The sequence below is a fragment of the Homo sapiens genome, chromosome 2 (genome assembly GCF_000001405.40).
Source record: "Homo sapiens chromosome 2, GRCh38.p14 Primary Assembly".
NCBI lineage: Eukaryota > Metazoa > Chordata > Mammalia > Primates > Hominidae > Homo > Homo sapiens.
In genome coordinates, this window is record NC_000002.12 from 50,216,553 (window position 1) to 50,236,120 (window position 19,568).

General features: G+C 34.9%; 1 protein-coding gene across 19 annotated transcripts in view; it reads right to left on the bottom strand.

Annotated features, from left to right (window-relative positions):
• NRXN1 (neurexin 1) overlaps positions 1-19,568 on the bottom strand; it is a 1,113,630-nt gene that overhangs the window by 298,050 nt on the left and 796,012 nt on the right. The window lies entirely within an intron of this gene.

Sequence of the window (19,568 nt, forward strand, 5' to 3'; positions counted from 1 at the left end):
TTTTTCAAATAATGGAAGTGAGCAGAGACTGAGACATGCCAACAGATAGAGTTTTTTCTTTCTTATTTTTCTGTTTTCAAGCCATTATTTAAAAAAAAAATCAGAGTGCTTTATTGAGCTTAGAAAGACACAGCCTTAGGGAACAAAATGACTACACTAATTTTCTGCATATGCTAGTTGGGTGGAAAGTTCAACACAAGTTTTAATGATCAATGATGCCACGTTAGCACACTTTCAAAAAGTGGATTTCAGATTTGGGTGTGATTCCAAACATGCACCTGCCATCCTCAAAGCAGAGAATTCAGGTCCAGAATAATCACAAGTTCTAAATTATACACAGTGTGTTGTGAAATATCATTATTATTTTTAGAAAGTGAAAAAATATCTGTGATAGAACCTATTTAATGTTTTGTCAGCCTCCACAGATGTGGCTAAAAACAGCTTCCCAGTAATACTTTCAAGGGTCAAAAGCAATGACCTTGTCATGTTTCTGTGATCGTGGTAAAACACCTGGGTCAAGACACTAGTGAAGATTAATAAGGTAATTATAAAGGAATCAGAAATGTTATTGTAGCAAAGCAGATGTAGCAAAAACAGCACCTCCTAATACTATTGGTATTGTCCTCAACTTTTTTCCCAATCCTTGATTATGAGGACCAAAATAAATATGTTTTACATAATAAAATTTGCTATTATTAAGAATAACAAAGACTATTTAAAAAGCAGTAGACTTATTCTCAATCACATCTTTAAAAATCACCTTTGAACAGGATGTTCAACATGCATATCAGAGCTGTGGGAGAATATAAAGCATGACCCCATATACCATTGTTATTGCTGTATCTGTGCCCATTGACAGTTGAGAAACTAAGTGATTAGAAAAGACAAAGCTTAAAAAAACGTAAACTTATTGGACCTTCTTTTATCTGGCTGGATCTATAATTACATGCTTTAAAACTCTCTAGGTATGTAGTTTTTTTTAAACCCTATAAGTAGGGGTTCAACTTTCAATTTAGATCATGTTTCAGAAATGCCTAAAGAGATGGACAGACCGAATTATAACAGGGGACCTAAAGAAACAGTCCTAGGAAAGCGTGCATTCTGTGGGTCTGTGGAGCAAGTCTGTCAACAGAACGCCTGGTTGAAGGTCATCTTTCCAACCCAGAGTCCTATGCAGAAAGAAACTTAACAGCAAAGCTTTAGACTCTTACTTGAAGTCTCTCTGCAGTATGACATCACTTGCATACTTATTAAAATATTTTTGCCACTTCTCTTTTCATCTAACTTATTGTTATTGAAAAACTAGATAAGATATTTCCCATTTAGCCATTCATCCAGAAAACATTTACTGATGCCTAGTAATGGCTATGTTAAAAGGCACATAATTAGCCAGACACACCATGTTGTATCTCAATTTAGCTCATTATTTCTGATGGCCTCCTTTGTTTTCTTCTGTTTGGCACACTCCTCTCCCATACATACCTGAACTACCTCCTCTGCAAAGGTGCTCCTGAGGCATCAAGGCAAAATTCACTCTTCTTTCTTATATGCTACTATTATAAATTTCAGTGCTTCCATTATTGTCTTTACATCATTTTATTAAAATTATTTCTTCAAAAGTCTTAATGGAGAGTTTTCACTATTCAAGTTTATTGAAGCATATGCAATATCTCATCCACATTTCTATCCCAAGAAGCTAACAAGGTTCTGTTCACTTTAAAGCCCTCAAGAAGTGATTCATGAATGAACGAAAAACTTTCCACCTTCAGTGGGAATTGGGTGACAGTTAGCTCCCAGACACGTTTTTGAAGAGATCTACCAGCTCTTAGTATGAATACCATCCTTTCTGACAAATGGTGATGATTCTCTCAAAATGGAAGAATATCTCTCACATTCTACTGGAGATTTGAATGTGTTCTCCTTAAAGTTAGCACCTTCTTTTTTTTTTTTTTTTTCTTTCTCAGAATCTAAACGTCTTTGGTAAACTTCATATTTAGCCACAGTGATTATAGCCCCCTCCCCACCACATACCCACGGTTTTGGAGAAAAATAAGTTTGTTTATCTTGGAGTCTAAGACAGAATCTAAACTTTCAGCAAGGCCATAGCTTATATAACAGCATTACTCATTTACTTTTTTAAATTAGAGTATCTTTAGTCTTTGATTAGGGGTTGGAATACAAGTGAGCCTCTAAGGGAAATAACTGCCTTTCCAGGTCCTGAAACTTATCTGAGATAGAAAAACTTCAACTTTGTACCCAGTGACATTTTAGTTAAATATAATTTAAGATTCTATGGATTCCTGTTATACATATGCAAAACAAAGTAAAGGTGTCCTTTCCAAAAATATTCACTTTTATTCCATATTGTTTAAATAGTTTTCAAGAGAGATATTCCAATAGCCTTTATTTTTTTTTCTTCTCTATTGCCAATGGATTTAAATGTTTGCTTCATTGTGGCATTCCAAACACACAAAACTCCAGTGGCTATGGGTTTTATTCCTTTGAGTGAATAGTTATCGTACTTCAAAGACTGCTTTGGATTTTAAGTTAGGGTGACCTGTTTTCATTATATTCAAACAGGCTTTGATCCATTTCTCAATTAGGTATTGCAGATGACAAACAGGTACGTCTAGCTTTCCTGCCATCTAAATTACCCTAGAATTCTATGAAGATGATAATTTGTTCTGTGAGTACACTACTTCTATGTGTTATCCACACAAATTTCATTATTTCAAGTATTGTCTTTTTATGTATCTCTTTTGTGGGGAGACTAATATTCCAATACAAAACTGTGTTCTGTTTTGGGGAAAAAAAAAAAAAGAGCTCTTAGACAGTCAGAACATGAGAAGTTTACCAAAAATAATTTGTCCTCAAGTCTAGTTGATAAAAAGGCCCTATGAGGTTAGATTTATACAATTTTATTGGCAATGACAAAATCTAGAATAAAATATATAATTATTGAGGTACTTACATTTTTAGTATAAACTGGAATAACAAACACATCAACTTTACAAACCTCTCATACTAGTGTCTCACTTTAAAGATATTCTTAGGTCAAATACAGTGGCTCACTCCTGTAGCTGCAACATTTTGGGAGGCCAAGGCAGGAGGATCGCTTGAGCCCAGGAGTTAGAGACCAACCTGGGCAACATGGTGAGACCCCATCTCTACAAAAAATTCAAAAAATTAGTTGGGCATGGTGGCACATGCCTGCAGTCCCAGATACTTGAGAGGCTAAGGCGAGAAGATTGCTTGAGCCTCGGGAGTGTCGAGGCTTCAGTGAGCTATAACCACACTACTGTACTCTAATGAGACCTTGTGACTATATATACATATATATACACACACATATATATATAAAATCTCTCTCTATATTATATATATTATATATTATATATATAATATATATATTATATATATATAATATATATATTATATATAATATATATTATATAATATATTATATATATATATAAAGAAAATATTCCTAAATAAGTGGCTCTCATATGAGCCACAATTTAAGGAATATTTTCTTAAAGGCAGACTTAGAGAGAAATATGAGTCACACTAACACAAAGCATAATCAGCCTAACTCCTCAGTCAAACACCCTGAGGTTCACATTACCAAAGAGAGAGGTTTGAACATGAGGGAAACATATTATTTTCACTATACTGTGATGGAAGGAAATTAATTCTGGTTGTGCAAACCTAGAGCATTTCTCTGAATTCTCTGAACTAGGGTGGATTGTTAAGACCAAGACAGAGTGTGCATAATAACCTTGATGTTGGGAAAAGACTATGCCGTGAGTCTTAAAACAGATCCTAGTTGATGATTATGCCAACCCTGCTGAAGAAATTCTGAAAAGATGCAGAATGCCTTGAAATACAAATGCTTTTTCTGGCCCAGATAATTGATATTGCATTAGAACATTCCATGGGATTTGAACCAGCCTCTTTCACACTTTAGATTTCAGGCTAGTATAATTCCCTCACCACACAAGGCAGAACCGAAATCCCTGAAGTTCAACAGGACGTATCCAATTTCAACAACTTTACAATTTTCAATATCTGTACAGGATTTTTGCAAAAACCCATTTCAAATATCCCATTATCAGTTCCACGTCTTTTTGTGAATACCAAAATATATTAGCTAGACCGTCATCTTATTTTAGCTTTAGAATGTATATCAGATTTTTTTTCCAGACACAAGCAATTAAAGGATTGGAAAATAGCTCATGGAAAGCTCCAAAGAATTGATCCTCAGAGAGCAAATCTTGTAACACCAAACAACCACAATTCCCCTAAGCCACTCTGCTGACAAAAGTTATTGCTAGTTATGCAAGGTAACTAGAAGATATGCACACAAATCATTGCAATTAAATATCCTGCCCACCATATAACTGATACTTGCCGAGCAGATGGTTGGCAGAATTTTCTTGCTAATCTCGTGTTATCAATGTCCATATTGCAGAGCATCCTTGAAGGTGCTCCTCTGTTTGTTTTGTATTGGATACACCTATTTGTATTGTTGTATAGTTATCTGTGCTGTGTGTCTTACCCAGTCTCACCCAGTTATTTTACTTTAGAATCTCATGGGCTGTGTATCGTGAAGACAAACAACCTGTTGGAAATAAACAACAAAGAACTGAATCCCTCTTATCTGTTCGCTGCCTAACAAATCAAAACACACTGAAATCTGGGATTATTAGAGAAGTTTTGGGGATATAGAAATAAAATAAAAACCAGCTTGTCAAATGGGGCTGCCTGCTGCTCAGTACCATGTGTTACCACAGCAAGTTGCATCTGTTCAGCTATTAAACCTGTTAGTGAATATAATATAGACAGCCACGGCATTAACAAATATTCTTAATGCCTATTAAACTCTACAGCTACACATTTTAATTTTTACATTGTATTAGTAAAATTCAAGACTATAGCACCTTTAGGACAATTTAAAAGTGCAATGAAAAAACTATAATTTTGGTTATATCTCACATGCTTAAATTATATTTAGCCATCATTTTAAGAATTGGCCATTTAAAAAAAAGTTCTTTAATTTTTAAATGTGGTTCTCACTGCTAACTGTAATTTAGCTCACTATAGATGCAATAGGACTGAAGTAATTAATCACATGTAGAATTTGAAAAACTCAACTAGGTACATCTTTTTTCCACTACTGAACATCTTACTTCCTTTCGATTTAATATTGGCTATTAGCAAATGCCACAGAACATATGAGTTACTCCCTTGATATAATCCACCCTCTGAGCTCAGGCTCAGGAACTTCGTCATTTAAATTGGCTATCAACAGCTAGGACATGTATGTTTTACTAAACACTTTATAGCAGAATACATCTGTTGCTACTCTGTTTGTTATATTAAGATTAAGCACAATGATGTTGACAGTATTAATACATTTAAAAGCCTGTCACGTTCCATGGTGTTCACGAGTCCTGGGGACTGCAGGATTGAAATAAAAAGTGACTAGAGGCAAAATTAAGAATTATGGAATGTGTAGAAGGTGAAGAACACAGAGGTAGACTCTGAAATGAGTACTGCTACCCAGGAGGATATTAACCTCTTGCCTGCCTGGCTTTTCCCATAATATTGTGAAGCCACATTTTACTGAAAAGAGCCGCATGCTTCATGAAATAGTTATCCAACCTCCTTGGCCTACTGCTGCTTCATGAATGCTGCCAGAATAGGGGAAAGTTTGTGACTGAAGTTAAAGGGGGGTTGGTTTCACCGCTATACTAGTGTAATTATTAAAATGCGAACACACTCAAATTAAATACACCAGAAAGAAAATCATTCTATGGAGCTCAGTTTCCTAAGAAATAATGAGACCAATTTGCTTTTATATGAAAACACTCCAGTTTGTGATATCTTCATACACTGCTGGTGGGAGTGTTCAACAGTACAATGTTCTTAGAGGACAACTCAGCAATATATACATTGGTTCGGCTTGTATGAATTTGTACATAAAAATATGCTTTTACACATGTGAAACGATATTTTTACAAGATTTTAAAATGTTATCCATTTGTAATACTTAAAATGCTGAAAAAATTAAAATACCCATCATTAGGGTCTGCTACCCTCATAACATGTAGCAGATGCATGTTATGAGGTAAATATGAGATCATATGCTCTAAAATGAAAAGATGTACAAAATATATTAAATAAAAATACTCAAGTTGCAGAATAGTATGCACATGATAATATTTCATCTTTTTAAAGAATGTTCAGGTATGTTAGCATATATACAAATCCTTGTACCTATACTATACACAAAAAAGAAATTGAATGTATATGCATAAGATTAAAGATTAGAGTTTTAGACACCACAGTAAAAAAGTGGGTATATTATATGCTGTTTTTACTTTTTACTCCCATCATTGTTGTATTATTTAAATTTTTCAATACAAATTTTTATGATTTAAAAATTAAATTGATTTAAAATATGGGCTTTCCTGAAAAGTAAATACTTTCATCCGTAGGCAACAAATAAAATTCAATTCCTTCTGAACAGCCTGTCATAAAATATTATTGGCCTTCAAGACCCTACAGTATGCCTCACTAGTCTATTGAATCTAGTTTATGTCTGGATGCTTAGAAGAATACCAAAAAATTAGTAAGTTAAAAAAAAAGTTAAATAATATAAATACAGTCTACTGAGAAGGACAAAGTTAAGGAAAAACTAGTTAAATATGGAGTTGATGGTTATAGCATGTTCCTCACATAACAATTAACAATATCTACATAGCACTCTCAAATTCCAGAAACATCCCCAGCCACTGCATTTATCCAACACCCTTCTCAATAACCAGTTACAAATAATCAAATAACCATCGGTCTTGATTTAGGTATTTGGAGGCGGAGCTAGAATTTACAACTTTTTCTTCCCACCTTATGAAATATCTTTGCAATACCTGTTTTTTAAAGATCAAATGAACACAGTTCTGGAGCCTAGACGAGTAGCTGTCTAACCTTACTCTGCGTAATAGGGCTAAAATTTCAACTCTATTTCTCTGCTGATGCTCTATGGGATTTGGAGCCCCCAAAGCCTGATTTTATTCCTAATTAACAGTAATGAACAGATGACATACTTTTCCTTTGAACACCTCTGTCGGGAAAATGTCCAATCAGCAAGAGCTACAAGCAATAGACAAATTCCCTTTCTCTGACCTCATTTACATGCTTAAGTACACAGAGACTCCCCCTGCCTTTAGTTTGGGGTGCGGGGGGAAAGAAGTAGGTCAAGACATTGAGGCTTTATGCATTACCTTTAGAATGTGGTGAAGGCTGAAAGTCATGGCTCCAACCAGAGTTTCCAGAGCAATGTGGGTTACTTTCATATTCATCACACATAAGGCCAATACCCTCCTAGCAGTATTAGTTTAGTTCTACATTTAGGCACAACTCACAAAGCAGCAAAGATACCTATAATTGTACCCATTAAGAGACTTATAATAGAAAATACTATGTGCTATGTCATCACACTTTGTTGTTATTTAGTGCATTCACCTTGAGGGTCACAGAATCTCTGGAATTCCATGTTTAAGGAATATCATAAAATAATACACTACAAAGACTCACTGGTTTCACATCAGTAGTTGGGATTTTATAATCATTTGCAAAATAAGCTGGGCCAGCCTGAAATTTTCCTTTGTACAAAGAAAAATGAAGCTTTGAAGTCATATACAACTGGTTCAAAGACAGGCAGTTATTTACTATCTGTATGATTTTGGTCAATTTATTTATAATGCAGTCTGCTCATTGGTAAAACTGAGATAAAATTCATACCTCAATGAATTATTGTGAATATTTAATAAAATCTAATTTTATGCAAAATGTTTAGATCAGTGTGTGTTCCACAGTAAGCAATCAGTACACTCTAAAGAGTATTGTTTAGTTACCGTTCTTCTGACTAAGCCAAATAATAGGGTAAGCATGATTTCAGAGGGGGAATTTAACCCTACTTCAGATGATTCACTGATAGTACTTCCAAACATTTAATATATATTAATTAAAATAATTTTTACAACTCAACAAATGGAGAACCAATTTTACCTCCCTCAGCTAAGCCAAGTGTTAGAGGTTGGCACAGCAGAAGATTAAAGAGAGAGAGAGAGGGAGAAAGAGAGAGAGAGAGAGAGAGAGAGAGAGAGAGAGAGAGAGAATGGTTAAATTGCCAGGGTAGTGGAGATTGATCATCTCTACATTCCTAATCAATTAGGGAGGATTACTACAGGACAGTTTTTTGTTTGTTTTCATTCTCCTAGTGGATTCTTCTCTTCTCATCAAGTCAGGATGCAGGGAAATATATCACATAAGTTTTTGTGTAGATATTAGAAATAAAAATGATACAGAGAACAGACAAGAAGCATACCTAGACTCAGAGAAATGATCACCTGTGTGTAGTATTTGAATCTGAAGGTGGAGCTAGCCATTAACAAAAGAAAAGTCTTCCTTTCATAAGAAAATAACACAGGAAAAATGAATCCATTTCATGACAGGCCTCAGTCCTCAGGCCTCTGACTTTTGTTTGCCTCAGGAGGTTGTAAATGGGAAGTCCCAGGAGAACATCACGTGCTTTCACGATTATCCTTTGGTACTGTACCTCATACTATGCTCCAAGGAGAGCACTTCTGGAGTGAGCGCCTGCATGACAATGGAAAACTACCAGCAGGAGGGCAAGAGAGGCCACAGTCAAAAGTAAAGCAGCAAGAGTTCACTTATTTCTCCATTCACTCAGGTATGCATTGCTTCCTCTGTAAACCATTACTATGCATCTACTAAGCACCATGCTAGAGTATGAAAATACGGACATGTAAAGATACATAGTATTATACATTGTCAGTGACCCTGAAGAGTTTACAATTTAATGGGCTACAAGGACATATAAAGACATAGTTATAACTACAGTAAGTAACACAATAGGATTAAGAACAAAGTATTATGATTGTACCAAGAAGGGCATAATTAGTCTTGCCCTAGGGGACAAAGGAAGGTTTCACAAATACATAAAATATATAATCCAGGCCTCAAAGATGAATAAAAAAGCACCAGACTAGGAAAAAGAGAAGGACAGGTAGGAATAAGAGGAAGTAGGAGTACTTTAAAGAAAGGAACAGATATGAACAGCGGCACTCTGGAGGTCTCTTTTTGCTGACTCTCATTATTGGTACATTTTTTTAAACTGTGTTTCTCGGTCTTTAAAATTATTTATGCCCCAAACTTACAAATCAAACTAGTTGCAAATGCTAGCTAGCTAACCACAAAATCTTTGGGGTAACTGGCCAGTCAGATAACTTCCTATGTATTTATTTAACTAGAGAAAATGCTTTATGTAGCAGATATCTGAAATGCTCCATAATTTATGTGATATGTGGTATACTAAAGGGTAGGGTTGTTTGACTTCATAAAACTTCATTACACAGACCAAAAGGCAGAGTTATCTCGTTCAGCCTGATGAGGGATTGTCTCCTGAACTCTCACCTGCATCACAGAAGGCACAGTGGTTAAGCACATGGATTTAGGAGTCAGACTGACTGAGTTCAACACTGGTTTTGCAGCTCACTAGTTGTGTGACTTTCATTTCTTCATTAACTACCTGAGTATATATTTTTTCCTTTTGAAGTTTTAATGCATATTAGATGGACTTACATATGTAAACTTAGAACAGTTATGAGACTGTTGATTGCTTTTATAAAAGCCACACTTGTAGACTGCTTCATAGTTTAAAAACTTTTAAGTGTGCTTTTACAGTGTGAGGATTTGAAATATCAGCCTATTTTCTGTGGCTAATGTGCCAGTAGAATAATGATTATGTAGTAAATTATAAGGTACTTGAGGTCAGAAGCCATGCCACATCTGACTGTATTTCTAGTGCTTTGGAAAGTGCTTAGCACTTAGAAGAAAAGGAGGTAGAAGAGAAAGAAGAAGAAGGAGGAGAGGAGAAGCACAAGGAGGAGGGGGAGAAAATTTTGTTAAGAACATGTATTAAAGAGTGAATGTGTGTGAGGTAGAATGTGGAGTAGCTGAAGATGAGGCTGGAAAATAAGTCTAGATTGTGCATACATCAGAGGTCCAGCTAAGGAAGTTGGCCTTTGAAGTATTTGCAGTAGACCACTGGTTCTCTATCAGAACTAGAATCTTGCTTCAAGATACCAATCTATAAATAGGTAACACATAAACTGGAAACATGCTGATAGTTAGCTCAGATTTGTATCTCTAACCCCCCCAAAACACATTTAATATAAACTGGCTTCTGATATTGCCTTTAACCTGAGCAGCACCGACCTATTGCCATTGAACATTTTCAGAACACACATAGTTTAAGTTGGTAGAACTTCCAGAATGCAAAGATTATTTCAACAAATACTGATTGCTCACTTGCTAAATTCTAGGCTCATGCTGGGCTCTAGGAATACTAAAGTGCACGAAATAGATAAAATTCCCTGCTTTCATGACACTTGCTGCTCGGCATCATGCTGTTCAGTATGGATGAAGATTTGCCATCAGAGTTTAAATACTTTAACCTAATTCCAAATTTTGTCTGCTTCATAAAATTGCCAACAAAAAATGCAAGAGTACACAAAGACGGGAAAAAAAAAAAAAAGGAAGTTTGTTGTTGTTATTTTGCCAATTTTTTCCAGACGTTTGACTTTGCTTTGTCCTGGAGAAGTAAATTACTAAGTGTCCGTGTCTATAATTTTAATAAATAAAAATTAGTTTCTCTTCATATGCTATTAAATACACATTGGGAAAAATACTTAAAGAATACTATGAGGGGGCTTCAAATTGACAACTGAACAGGGAGCCCATGCCCATCTCTGACCAGCCTTGCTACCAGGTGAGAGGTGGAAACACACCCTTGCAGAGCAGTGGGAGAAAATGGGTGAAAGGACTGATAGAGTACCAGGATTTGTGCTTTTTTTCCACTGATGAGCAGCTCATAAGTGAGCAAAATTACTGCTGAAAGTGGGTGAACATTATCAGCCAGGTATGTCTTGAACTAAAAGAGGTTGAGACCCACTGTAACTGAACATTTGAAGCCAGAGGTTGAAACACCACAATTTTATTTTATAACAATCATTCTGGTAGCAGTGCAGAGGATGGATTAGAAAGGGAAGATGCTGGAGGCAGAGAGATTAGTTAGAAGGCTATTGCAACAGTTCAAGAAGAGGTCATTAAACTAAGGCAATAATAGTGGAATAAAAAGCAAGCAGATACCTTCTAAAAATTGCTGTTCAGTAGGCAAGCCAGTAGCCATATGTTGAGCATTTGAGATATGGCTAATGTGACCAAGGAGCTGAATTTTAAAATGTATTTAATTTTAATTAAGTTTGTTGTAAGTTTAAAAGATACTCAAACTTTTAAGTATGTTTAGAATAACTTGAGTATGTGAATCTACTTTTACAACTGTAGATATAACAAAATATAAAATGCTTCTGATGGAAAATTTAGATTCTGAAATGAGAGGTGTTGTTAAGTGTACAAGAAGTTCCTTGTTTTGACAGCTTGGCATAAGAAACAGGGTTTGCTAAATGTTAAGTGTAAAACACACATTGGATTTGAAAAGCTTATTATGAAAAGATAATAGAAAACATTAATAATTTATATCATTTATATATTAAAATGATAATATTCTGGGCATATTGAGTTAAAATATATTCTCAAAGTTAATTGTATTTAGTAAAACTAATTCCATCTTTTTTTCCTTTTATATGAGTAGTAGAAAATTAAAACTTACAAACATGGCTCATATATTTCTCTTGGATGGTATAGGTTGAGAGACATGGTAGCAATTCGGTGACAAACTGATTAGATTGTAAAGGCAAGCACGGAGTAAAAGATGTCAAAGATGTAGCCTGTGATCGTGTAGATGAGTGGGTGATTGGGAGATGATGAGTTCAGTTGTTAATGTGGTAAGTTTCAGTCGCCTGTGAGACACCCAGGTAGAGATGCTGAGTAAGCAGTTGGAAATATTAGTATGGTAGTGACAGAAGTCTGGGATGGAGATGTGTCTTTGGGAGTGAGCAGCCGGCACTTATTTGATAGCTAAAATTCAGAGTAAAATTTTAAGTATATGAAGATACCCTTTTTCATAGGCCAAAAGCCTTACTAATCAATTAAATTTGATCTTTCACCAAACTTTTTTGTCTGTCAATCACGAATTTCCATTCTTTATTGGGCAGGAAGGATTTAAGGGCTAAAATTCCAGGAAGAGCCCACCATTAAAGCATTTACTTAGAAGCCTAGTTGCAGTGTGATCTTCCAGGGCAGTTGAGCGTCCCCCATTCAGGGCTGTGCTCTGTTGGCAAAAAGGTTAGACAGTTTTCCAGTTTGTTTTGAGGAGGAGAGAGGCCTCCTCTGTGTTGTCGATATAAGAATCCCTAGTTCTGGTCTAGCACACCATCTCCTAAAGTAACTCCTAGAGACATCACAAATTGTTTTCATCAGAAGAATTTTCTCAGACCCCATAAAAATTATGTCTAGTCCTCCGATTCTAATTTATAATTTGGATTATTTATGTCTACTATTAACTTGAGTACCCCCTATCTATGCACCTAGATTATTTCCTTCCATTGTTTAAATAAACTTGCCCATGTCTAGAGTGGGCCAGCATCAGCATTAATAGGATTCTAATGCTGTAGAATCACCATCATCATCTTGTTTTCTGGTCTTTGGCTGACATATTTACAATGCTGTTTCTATTTTGTAACCGCTACTGCCATGCATTTTGCTTATGGCTTTCAGCGCATTTTTTTTTGTGTGTGTGTGTGTAATAAAAGTAATTTTCCTGATCATTGTGCAAATGACCCATATTCAGTATGTATTCCCCAAACTGGTTCTTAACCCTCAAGCAATGTCTTTGTTTCTTTTTTTCTTCCATCAATCTATATTGTGTTTAGAGTTCTGCAAAGCCTCCTTAATAACGTGCTTGCATATAGTTTAAATTATTGCTCATCATTTCTTCCCGAGACACACAGACTCTGTCTGGATCATAAGGGTAAACATATTGGATATGTTCTAAATACAGGAGTTCTTAACCATTACTTCTTCTAAAAATTCCAGAATAACTAAGATGCTCCTGGATTCCTAAGTCAGTGTAAGATTATAAATGTTTGCTCTTTTAAGCTTCTAAATTATGGAAAAATTGGTTACACAGGAACTAATCACACACATTATAAATTGCATTATAGGTGATCAAAAATAATGTGTTTATTTTGCCTAAAATGTTTCTTAAAGGTACGCTTTTGAAAAATAGTTAGTAGCTATAGAAGAAATTGTGGTATAGTCAGTAGTCAGAAAGAATTCAACAAGAAGTTCCTTGTTTTGACAGCTTGGCATAAGAAACAGGGTTTCCTAAAGCCACTCATCACTGGCTAACTTAAGAATAGATTTGAAGCCATTCTATAAAATAGCTTGGGGCCCACCACAAAGCAGTGGGTCAAAAGGAGTAGTGATCACAGGATGGAGCAGAATCAATGGACATGATTTTCTCCAGCTAGGTAATGTCCTAGGAATTGTTTCTGCAACTCTTCCAAAGAGATTCCGGAGACCTAACTTCTTTCTGCTAGCTTAGGAGGTGAAAAGATCCAGGACCAACCCTGAAAACACTCACTATTTGAAAAAACTGTTCAATGACTGAGTCAAATCTATATAGTGAGAGAGAATGGGAAGAAATCTTTTGAACAGGAATTAGAAATAGAGAGATGACAAGAAGCTCATTTTTTAAAAAAAGTTAATATGTTTCACTGGAGTTGAAAGATAAGTAGAAAAATGGGAAAAATGGACACGAAAAGGGAAAGAGATCAAAATGCTGAAGACATTAAATTTTAGGTACAGAATTTGCCTTTACCCATATATAATTGCAGCGGCATCAATGTGTTTTAACAAAGGAATAATATGATCAAAGAACCAGATTAGCAAATTAACCTGCCATAAGTATATAAAATGGATAGAAAAGTACTCAGAATGGAGACAGAAGGATAGCTGAGAAAGTGAGGCAGCAGTACAAGCCTCTAAGTGGTAAGTATGTGAACCGAGAAGAAGCTAGAAATAGCTGTTTTGTTCTCATTTCTTAAATTTCACAGCAATAGAATTTCAGATGAGGAAATAACTCTAGAATTCTAGAAACCAAAAACATAGAGATTAAATGACACACTAAAGATGATGACCAGTAATTTAGAAGTTGAGAAATTGAATTAACTTCCAAGGGAAAAGGATGAAGGTAGGAATCTGTATTGATTCATTTACCTCTCCTACCTCCCACATAATAAACTATTTAGCACTTAAGCCAATAGAAATGTGACCATCATTTCTCACATTTTCCCCAAAAATGACTTTTACACCTCAGAAGTTTGGACAGTAATTTTACAATACATGGTGAAAAGGCATTATTTAACCCATCTTTTGAAATTGTAGTAAAATAGGCCACATGTTCTCTAATTCATATAAGAATTAGGAAAGCTACCTCGTGATACGGCAATAGAAAAAATAAATAAATGAATGTAAAAGAACTAGGAAAGCAAAACCAAGCAATATATATACAACATATGATTTACAGGACTGAATCTGAATACTATATGGCAAAGTTAAACCTCTATAAAATCAGTGCATCTGTTGATTAGAAAGAGTATTTCAAATGGAACATAATTTCTATTCAAGGAAAACCCTGAGGGGAAATAACTGGGTTTATCTTGTTGATATAGGTGTGCATCTATGTATAATTACTGACTTTAAAAAGGTATTTCTGAATCAAATCTTAATAGACCAGCAAGATAAATAATGTATAATGGAGAGAAGCAGAGAAAGATGAGAAAGACTTGACACGTCACCAATATTGGTGTTATTTTGGGACATGTAATATTTACTATAAATACACTGTTTCTAGTCTACACTAAAACCAATGATCAAAAGGCATATTTCTAAATCAAAATCAATTAAGAGCTTGGTTTCAAAATAAGGCTTCCGGCCCAGCAAAGTACAAAGAAGCAACACTTAAGGCAAAAATGTGCAACAATTCACTCATCAAATTTGCAATGCTCTTTTATGCTCCCAAGATGAAAGGATTTCAAAACACACTCTTCACTCATCCCCTCCTCCACCCTCAGTGACATTTCCTCTGGTCAGAACCAATGCACATGTTAATATTTGTGGTAGTGAATGCATCCAGATTTATAGTGACTTTCTTCTGTCAGAGAGGCATTAAGTAATTTCCAAATGACATCACTAAACTGCTATATGAGCGCTTTTCTCTAGAAGTGACAACATTGGTAAAATTTCTAGATATATCTTATATAATATAAAAACTTGAGCTAAATTTTTCTTATTGCTTCTAAGAAATTATTTAAGTCATTATCAGTTAAATAATCCTCAACACATCGTAACTTAAACATGTCTTGTGTAACACTTCACAGTTTGCAAGTTATTTCTTTATATTCTTTATCTTAAAAATCTATTATTTGTTAACTGTCCACACAAATACTATACAAGTAAGAAAGTTAAAACTGTAAGGAAGAGAGATGAAGAAATATCAAGACAGAAAAATACCAAGAAATACCAGTCATTTGGGGACAAAATGTTTGCTATAAATCATATAAGTTAACTGGATCTCAGCTAGCTTGTTCATTCATTCATCCAACAAATATTTATTGAGGTGGTTACTAAACAACCAGCTCATTTATTTTTGTATCCACAGAGCCTAACATAGGCCTGGGTCATATTAGGTGCTAAATAAATATTTCTGGAGAGGCTTCTAGGATGTACTGAAGTAAATGATGAAAAGTCACATTACTGTATTATTTTTCTTTCTTTTCTTTTCTTTTTTTTTTTTTTTTTTGAGACGGAGTGTCACTCTGTTGCCAGGCTGGAGTACAGTGGCACGATCTCGGCTCACTGCAACCTCCACCTTCTGGGTTCAAACGATTCTCCTGCCCCAGACTCCCAAGTAGCTGGGACTACAGGCATGTGTCACCACACCCAGCTAATTTTTGTATTTTTAGTAGAGATGGGGTTTCACCTTGTTGGCTAGCATAGTCTCCATCTCTTGACCTTGTGATCTGCCAGCCTTGGCCTCCCAAAGTGCTAGGATTACAGGCGTGAGCCACTGAGCCCGGCTATTTTTCTTATTAATCATCACCATTATTATAAATCATGTTCTCTGCCATCAGAAAGTTTATTTCTATTTGTAAATAATGGACAGATATAAAATAACTAGAGAATAATTCATGATAAAAGTGAATTACAATAAATAAGGCAATTATTAACAAAAAATAAACATTCATCCAACTAAAATTTCACCATAGACTTTCTTTAAACCACCAATCACCATAACCAATTCTTAGTTGAAGATTTCTGAAAACTACCTTTAAGATTTGAAGCTTCTCAATAATATGGCTGCTTATATCAAGTTCTATACTTTTCTGTATTGTAATCAGGAACCTGGAGGACTTTCTCAGAGTTATATAGAAATTAAAATGTCTGTCACTTTACTTGACTGTTAAATAATTGAAGATCTACACTCATCCTAAGCCACAGTATTTTCAATGTATAATTTATTAAATCTATTAAATTCTTTCAGAAAATATTTATTGAGCACTCATATTCTAGGTACTATACTAATTAATTGCTCTTCACTTCATGTCTTACCTTCTCCTCACCCCTTCATAAAACCTTAACAATTTCAATAGTAATATTATATGACTTTGAGGTTAACAGTGGTAGCATCAATATTAATATGACAAAAAAATCCATCTATCAAAACTGGGCCACCTGACTCAAAAACCATTTTATTCCAAGTTGTTATGTTTTTAAGAGTACAGTTAATCAAAATTTTTAAAAATCCAACATTTTTATTCTGAAAAATTGGATGACAAACCATGTCAAATATTCAAATCTTCATTAAAATTATATGCCAATCAGATTTTTTAAATTATCTAATTTAAATAGCAGTATATATTTCAGCAATGATGGAGCATCTCTTAATGCAATCAACTTTCTAATTTATTGGCTTACTCTATCAAATAAGGATGAAAATATTAAATCTGATCAGTACATAGTATACTTCACTGACTTTGAAAGCTTACACAAATTTTCCTTGAAGTTTAATGGATAATGAATAAGTCTAACTTTTACAGATAAAAATGTATCATTGATAGCATAGCACCAATTAGGTTAATTTTTAAGTCAGTTATATTCACAAACCTAAATCATAAGCAATAATCTAGAATTTATAAATCTTATTTTTCCTTTTAAATTTCAATAATGAAAGAAGTAGAACAATTTATTGGGCAAACCAAAATGGACTCAAAGATACCTAAATAATTTGATAAAACAGCCTTTCAATATTCTCAAATCTAAATATTAAGAACAGTTCTGCTTCTATCACCCCCAGGCATTATCTTGTGTTGCTTTGCACTTTCTTTGTTCCTTTCTTCCCTCCCTTTCTTTCTTTCTTCTTTCCTTCCTTCCTTTCTTCTTGGCTTCCTGTCTGGTTTTCATTTTTTCTTTTAATTTCTAATTCCTCTTTCTTTTATTATTCCATGCACCCAACATTTTGGGAAAGTGCTGGAGGTAAACTTAGGTAGTAAAAAGAAAACCACTGGCCTTGTGTTAATTTTTATTATATGCTTAAAACATGGAAAAAGGCCGGGCACGGTGGCTCATGCCTGTAATCCCAGTACTTTGGGAGGCAGAAGCAGTTGGATCACCTGAGGTCAGAAGTTCAAGACCAGCCTGGTCAACGTAGTGAAAACCCGTCTCTACCGCATATACAAAAATTAGCTGGGCGTGGTGGTGGGCACCTGTAATCCTAGATATTTGGGAGGCTGAGGCAGGAGAATAGCTTGAACCCAGGAGGCAAAGGTTGCAGTGAACTGAGATTGCATCATTGCACTCCAGCCTGGGCAACAAGAGCGAAACTTTGTCTCAACAACGACAACAACAACAACAACATGGAAAGAAATGACTTATCTCCACATCAAAGACTTGTTGAGTCTGTAATGTCTAATCACCTCTTCTAGGCAATGGGAGAAAGAAAATTTAATTTGACCAGATTTGAACTCAGACTGAGTCCCATTAGTTGATAAGGAGTGGGTAGGGCTGACAATAAACAGTATTTGAGAAGCCCAGGAGGACACGGTTTACGAGCAAGGGAGATTTTGAAGATATCAAGTCCAAGAGAAAGGGTGTGTAGAGACATGCACTGAATCCAAAGAGAACGACCAGGCAAGACCAAGATCGGAGATTCAGAAAGAAGAAGGCCTTCACAGTGCAGCTATCAGAAATCCATGGCTCGTAAAGGAGATATGGAGGGTATTACGCTAGAATGGACGCCGAGAAAGTCAATTCTTTACTTATGACAGGACCCTAAGACCACATTTGACCAGAATTGGAAAGAAATACCTATTCTTGCAGTCTAAAACTCTTTGACCATAAAATAAACAACAGTGGTTTGAGTAATTCAATAACACAGCCCCTTGTGATTTGAGAGTGATCATTGTAGAACCTTTTCTCAGAGTAAAAGTGTAATTGGTTATGGATCAATAAGTAATTTATTTTAGAAGGAAAAGGCCCTTGTTTTCATTTTTATTTATTTATTTTTTGAAGTAGCAAAGCTCTTAAATCAGAACGGAGCAAATACATTTTGAAAGTTGAGCTTACTCTAAACAGCAAGATTCCTTACTGTACTAGTAAAATTTATCTTAACTGATCATTTATTTATGATGCCATAAAAATCCAGATGTTCTTAATTTTGATTGTTAGAAATTTGCTAAAAGGCACCTGAAATTACTTTTCCAGAGTTCCCCTCTTGAGAACTACATTTTAAATTGAAATTTTACTATGGTTCAATAATGGCTGTGCTGAGGGGTTTTGTTGTGTTTTTCAAGCTTATCAATGAATTCAGCCCTTGTGGTCAGTGTAAACTCCTACACAGCTTATTGGAAATTCCAGAATTCTAAGGCAAAATTAAGATTAAGAAAATAGTTTAATAAAAACAGAGAATTAAAAACTTGTAAAAGTTTGTGCTAATGTACTTTGGTGTTTCATGTTTTTCTTAATTATTTTAGAACTGGTACCCGATGACCACTTTCTAACAGGAAAGAACATGATGACCTAATCAAATGTCCTTTGGAGAGTGAGCACTGATAGAAGGAGAACTTATAGGGAAAGACAAAACAAAATAGAACAAACTTCCATGGTCGCTTAATGCATGGGAAATAAACAGAACCTCAAGGATAAAAAAGAGGATGGGGAGACTTACCTGTTTCTTCTGAAATCTTCCAAAAGATAGACTTTAGACCAAGAACTATGATAATAAGAACCCTTTAGAAAAGTTTTTGAATATGTGACACACTACGATTTTTTGGATATATCAATAAAATATTCATATCTCTTAATAAAAGACACTGTGCTTCTTTACAAATAATGCAAGAAAATGAAGATTTAAAGAGTTGCAAACATACTCATTAATAATTTTTAAAATGCAGAGAAATAAGTGCCCCTGAACCCTAAAGTTAATTATGGCAACTTTCAAAGGAAAATGAAGTTTTTCA